Source organism: Homo sapiens, chromosome 13 (assembly GCF_000001405.40).
Source record: "Homo sapiens chromosome 13, GRCh38.p14 Primary Assembly".
Classification (NCBI taxonomy): Eukaryota; Metazoa; Chordata; class Mammalia; order Primates; family Hominidae; genus Homo; species Homo sapiens.
The window spans coordinates 81,249,122-81,256,065 of record NC_000013.11 but is presented as its reverse complement, the minus strand read 5'-3'; the positions used below and the strand labels follow the sequence as shown (position 1 = coordinate 81,256,065).

Sequence of the window (6,944 nt, the reverse complement as noted above, 5' to 3'; positions counted from 1 at the left end):
AGTATTTCATTTGAAATTTAACAAGGCATTTACTAATTACCTGCTATGTGCCAGGCATTGTTCTAAAAACTATGAATACCAAGTCAAACAAAAAAGGATTCTTGACTTCAAATAACTTACATTTAATTGGGAAGGATAGGCATTATTTAATATAATAACTATTTTAATCCTTTATCTTTCTTCCTATGTTTAGAATACATTGAGCATAATTAGAATTTGACATGAGGAAGAAAAACTAGCAGGTGAAATAATAAAACACTGCACTTGATTATTACATGGCTAAATCATCTTTTGATTTTTAAAGTATGGTTCAAATATTAATATAATTCAATGTAAAAACAAATATTTTAATAAAAGAATCTACTCATAAAACCAGAGACATCCATAATCTCTGTAAAATTCTGCTATTTGGATAGATATATTTATATTCCAGGCTTAGTTTGCTTATTAACTACAATATTATGTGTTTCTGAATTTTGGTGAAACTTACCTTGAAGGTTTGCCAAAAATGTCTATGTGAGCAGTGAGGTCATTAGAATGGTTAGTAAATAACTCATTTTTCTCATCAGAGGATTATAAATTTGATAAAGCAATTTGTAATTATAGTTTTAATCTAAATAGCTCAATCATGTTCTGCATAAAAGACATCCCTTTGCAAATATTATAAAATGAAAGTAGGGCTATTATAATGATTCTTAGGAAAGTGGATAAATGCTGACTAAATTACAGACTAAGTTTTGGAAATTGGTTCCATTCTGTTGTTTATATTTAGGTAATTATATTGAATACACATCCTGGTCTACACTGTAAAAAGTATTTTTTTTTTCATTGATCATTTTTATTTACACAGAAGTCTCATATTGTCTTTTATGAAATGCTGCTTTATAAAAATTATGTCTACCTGAAACTCCTAGAAATGACTATAGTTCTCTAATTAAATGTATTCCTTTCTGTCTTCTTGTTGAACTTCCTGAAATACCTGAATACATAAACTGATTCTAATCTTTAAAGGATGTTTTCTATCCCTCAGAGCACAATTACATAATAAGTTGTTAGGAAGATGGAACATGTAAAAGATTCTGGTAGATATTTCTAAAACAGAAAAATAAGTTATTTAAATTACGAAATGCTTCTCAAAATTAAATATTCTAAAAAGCATAGACGTTTCTCCCCTCAAAATACTTGGAATGTGTCTGCTTATCTAAGCAAGTATTAAAAACAATCTTATTACCAAACTGTTTCTTTAGCAAACATCATCTAACAATAGTTATCATTTAGCCAATCTTTCCATCTACTAATAGCATTGAATGTATAACTTCTTGTGCCAGAAACACTTTTGACATTTCAGCAAACACACGTTAACAAAACCTAGTGTTCTGCGTTTATGTAGCCCCCAACACATTAAAATGCTGTTAAAAATTTACAACCATGAAATAATGCTATAACAATGATTTGTAAAGAAAATGAAAGCAAATAGAGACGTGTAATTTTCTTTGTCTAGAAACAAAATAAATGAAATATGTGAAGATGAGTAGGAAAGCATCGGTTAGAGAATGGAAGTGAGGATGGCACTACAGACAAAGTAATGTGTGTGTTCAACAGCAGCGACATTAAAAAAAATCATAGGCATATCCACGAACCGGGAAGGATTTTCTGGGTCTGGGTTTCATATCCATGCTAGTTGTAATGCAAAGTGTGTACTAATAATTTATCATGAATTGGAAAATTCTGCAGTAAATGGAATGCATATTGTATTTTAGTAATGCTAAGTTTCTACCTCTAAAGAAAGTTTGAGGTGCTTTGTCAGTAATATGGTCAAATATTTTCTAAAATCAACAATCAATTTATATTTAAGGCTATCTCCTTCATATCTGATACACAATTGCCCCTTCCCTTACTTAATGTAATTTATTAATAGCTTGTAGCATGTGTAGGATTATTTTAATTACTGTGTAAAAGATATTGAATCTTCCACAAGTTTTACTCATTAAAGTTACAACATAAAGAGGAAAGAAAGAGGTACAGTTGGACACTGGGATAGTACCACAACAGGAGGTCCAATACATAACACAAATGAGCTTTGAGTATTTGCAACTATCATTAGCAATTATAGAAACCTGCTATGGACTGAATGTTGAACTGGAGGCCGTTATCTTCAGTGAAACAACTCAAAGACAGAAAGTCAAACACTGCATGTTCTCACTTACAGGTGGGAGCTAACATGGACATAGAGTGTGGGAAGGTGGGCGGGGGGATGTGAGGGATGAGAAATTGCTTCATGGGTACAATATACATTATTTGGTTGGTGGTAACAATAGAAGCCCAGACATCACCAACACACCATATGTTCATGTAACAAAAACTGGGCTGGGCGCGGTGGCTCATGCCTGTAATCCCAGCACTTTGGGAGGCCAAGGTGGGTGGATCAGCTGAGGTCAGGAGTTCAAGACCAGCCTGATCAACATGGTGAAACCCCATCTCTACTAAAAATACAAAATTAGCTGGGCATAGTGGTGCATGCCTGTAATCCCAGCTACTTGGAAGACTGAGGCAGGAGAATTGCTTGAACCAGGGAGGCAGAGGTTGCAGTGAGCCAAGGTTGCGTCATTACACTCCAGCCTGGGCAACAAGAGCAAAACACCATCTCAAAAAAAAAGCAAAAAACAAAAAACAAACAAAAAAACTGCACTTGTACCCCTTAAATTTATAAAAATAAAAAGCACTCAAATGTTGAAGCTTAACCCCCCAGTGTGACGGTGGTCAGAGGTGTGACCTTTGGGAGGTAACTACATTTAGATGAGATCATGAGAGTGAGGTCCCAGAATGGGATTCAAGACCCCAGATCTTTCTCTCCCTACCACCTTCTAATGTGGTAATACAGAAAATCAGATGTAGTCCCACTGCAAACCAGGAAGAGGCCTTCATGAGAAACTGAACTTAATTCCCCAGCTCCAAGTATTATGAGAAGCAAATTGTTGTTTAAGCCACCCAATCTATGACATTTGTTACAGCAGCCTAAACTGACTAAAACACTGAAGAATGAAATATTAATTTAAAGATACTTACAACCATTTTATGCATGCAAAATACTAATACTACTTTGTGCAGCTGCAAAATACTATCTTTTATTTTTTTAATTTCACCTTATATGGACTATTTCTATGCTGTAGGACCTATGAGCCACTCATGAATAAGATCAATAAATGAAATTTAATTTAATCCTCTGCTCATCTAGATAGTCATTAAACTCAGCAACAATATACATGATAGCACTACAATTTACGTAAAGAATAAATAGTTCCCAGGGTTCACCAGATAATCAATACATTGTTTTGTTCTATCCATTTGAATAAAAGGAAGTTTAATCTTTTCCAAAAATTTCCATCCTCAAAGACAGCTGATAAACGTTTTTTATTTATTCAAGTTTTTATTTAATTAAAGATACACCATTGTGTGCGAAGGGTTTGTTTCCTCTTTTTTGTTTTTCATGTATAATCATAGTCACCTCCCTGAGCTATGCAGTGCTATCTCTACTACATTATCAGCTCCATAAGGCCAAGATCATCACTGTTTTGTCTACTGCTGTCCAGACAGAACCTACTATTCATTTTTAGTATTTTAGTTTCTTTAGAGAAGATATTCCCCTTGCAAAATTCTATAATAACACATCCTTATTCTTTTTATCGTAGTTCTTTTCTTTCCAGACAATATTTTTCTATCTTTATGCCAATAACTTAATATTTTCTTGATTGTTTTAACTTTCTATTAGGTCTTGAAATCAGGTAGTGTTACTCCTTAAACTTTATTCTGCCTTTACAAGTTATTTAGGTATTTTAATTCCTTTTAATTTTCACATGAATTTTAGATTCAGTTTGTCAATTTCCACACCAAAAAAAAAATGTCTACTGAGCTTTTGATTGGGATTGTATTAAATCTACAGATATATTTGGGGACAATTGATATCTTAACAATAATGAGTTTTTTCATTAATCTTTAATATGGTTTACCTCTCCATTCATTAATGTTTCTTTATGTACCTTAAATTGTTCTGTATTTTTCAATATTCAGGTTTTTAATATTATTTATTGTATTTATCCTGAAGTGTTTCATGTTTTATACTTTTGTAAATGCTACTTTTTTCCCAAGTAGCATTAATAGTGCATAGAAATACCACTGATTTTTATGTATTGATTTTTTTTATCTCTCATCCTTGCTAAACTCATTTCTAGCAGCTTTTTTTTTCCTGTAAACTCTGTTGAATTTTATACGGAGATAATCATGTTGTCTGCAAATAAGGACAATTTATCTCACATACTATAATTTTGCTCCCTGTAAGTATGATTTGAGTTTTTTAAAAAAATATCTTGTGTCAGTGCTTGACTTTTTAAACCTGTGGAGTATAATTACAATAACCTTTAATATCCTGTCTTATTCTAACATCTATGTCAGTCCTGAGTTAGTTTACAATGAATGGTTTTTCTTCTTATGGGTGATAATTTCCTGCTTCTCTGCATGCCTGATAATTTTGTATAGGATGCCAGACATTGTGAATCTACCTTTTTAGATCCTCAGTACTTCTGTATTCCTGTACATTTTCTTCAGCTTTTTTATGAGATAGTTATGTGAAACAATTTGACCTTGTTGGTTATTTCTTTTAAGATTTGTTAGGTGGTAGCGCTCAGTCTAGGGCCAATTATTCTCACTGCTGAAGTCAAGTTCTTCTGATACACTACCCAGTGCCCCATGAATCTTGAGGATTTCCTGTTTGGATGATAAGACCAGGCTCTACTGGCCCTATGTGAGCATGAACCATGTTGACTTTAATCCTTCAGGTGGTTCTTTCCCTGGTCTCAGTTTCTTCAAATGCATGCACTGTTCTCTACTCAGCTAAATAATTAAGAGAAACCCTCTTATATCTCCAAAGTTTTTTATCTGCACAGTTTTCTCCTCTTCAATATTTTGTTTTGTGAATTCTAGCTGCCTTGGCTTCCTCAGACTCTGAGCTCCATCTCTCCTCTTCTGTGATGTGGACTACCTAAATTTACCATCATTGAGCCATGGCCAGAAAACACCCCAACACAGTAGTAGGCGTTGGCAGATTGAAGGACCCCCTCATTGGTTTCCCTTCTCTCAAAAATCATTGTCTTTCATTGCCTCATACCCTGTGTTTCAAAAACTGTTGCTTATATTTTGTCCCTTTTTTGTTTTTTTAAATAAGAGAGTGAACCAGGTTCCTTTTAGTTCATCTAGCTGAAAAGAATATTAACCTTTGTTTCTATTTTAACTATTTTAAAATTGCATGTCTTACAATTGATATTTAAAAGTACAGTGTTTCTTTTTCATTGTATAATGAAACTGTTTTATTTGATGTAACATTCTTCCTAATCAATTTCATGTTAAAATTGAAGAAAAAATAAATCACACCAGAGCCAGGCTTTATATGTGTATTAGTCAGAGTTTTCCAGAGAAATAAAACCATAAATTGAGATCTATAGTCTATAGGTCATCTATTTAAGGGATACAATATATATTTATAAATATATGCATATATGAAAAGATTTATTACGAAAATTGGCTCACATGATTATGGAGGCTGAGAAGTCTCATTATCTGCCACCTGCAAGCTGGAAAATCAAGAAAGCTGGTGGGGTAATTCAGTCTGAGTTAAAATGCATGAGAATCAGAGGAGCCAATGATGTAACACCCAGTTCAAGGCTGAAGATTCTAGAACCAGCAGGGGTTGGGGGTGGGGATGGGAGGCCGCTAGTATAAACCCTGAGTCCAAAGGCCCAAGAACCAGGAGCTCTTATGTCCAAGGGCAGGAGAAGATGGATCTTCCAGCTCAAGAAGCAAAAGAAAGAATGAGCCCTACCTCTGCCATTTGTGCTATTTAATCTTGGATGATGTCCACCCACCTTGGTGAGGGCAGGTCTTTCAGATACAGTCTAATAACTCAAATGCTAATTTCCTCCAGAAATTCCCTCACAAACAAACCCAGAAATAATGTTTTACAGGCTACCTGGACATCCCTTAGCACAGTCAAGTTGGCACATAAAATTAACCACCAAGATATTCTAGAAGTCTGATTTGCTTATTTAAAAGAAAAATAAATACATACATATCCTGAGGGGGCCTGACTGGTCGTTCTGTAAGTTTAGCTGCCTGGCACGTATGCTTAAACAGATGGACACATTTCATGTGGATGTTGGCCTCCAATACCCTTGGAAACAACCAAAAGTACTTGTAAGAAAATGGAAATTTAAATCTACTTAATCGTTGTTAAATGTACTACAATAATTGCCAGGATTGTTTCCCACAAATCATGAAGGAGACAGTTTCGGCCTAAACAAATGTAAAAATTATTGAACTTCCTTCCATAATTTAGCAGTGATTTGTTGAACCCGCACAACTTTCCCCAGTAAAGAATCTTCTTTCATTCTTCTTTTATGTCAGTAATAGGTTTTCTACATTTATGTCAAGTTATCCAAAGGAGAAAACTTACCTATGATGTTAGAAGTTAGGAGAGTGGTATCTTGGGCGGAGTGAGAATGCAGTGATTAGAAGGAATAGAGGGACATTCTGAGATGCTTCTTATACTCCAACTCTCACTCTTGATAGTGGTAACATTGATGTGTTATATATGTGCTAATTTTTGAGCCCACTTATGGCTTGCACATAATAGAATGCGTTAATTTATTGAGGCCGCTTATTGCTCATGTTCTTTACTATAACTGGTGTTAAGTTCAGCTACAGTCATGGGCAGCATAAGGACGTGTTGATCAATGAATGACCCTTTATCTAACAGGGGTCCCATAAGATTATAATGGAGATGAAATATTCCTGTCGCCTAGTGACTTCATTGCTATAGTCATGTCACAGCACGATGCATTACTCACGTGTTTGCGATGACGCTGGTGAAAACAAAACTATGAGCTGTCAGTTGT

General features: G+C 34.4%; 1 annotated feature.

Annotated features, from left to right (window-relative positions):
* Positions 3,405-3,605: a silencer, noted in NCBI's record as "peak2087 fragment used in MPRA reporter construct". NCBI's record gives its function as "represses an SCP1 promoter by STARR-seq MPRAs in K562 erythroleukemia cells {active_cell/tissue: K562}" and the evidence as "EXISTENCE:reporter gene assay evidence [ECO:0000049][PMID:32103011]".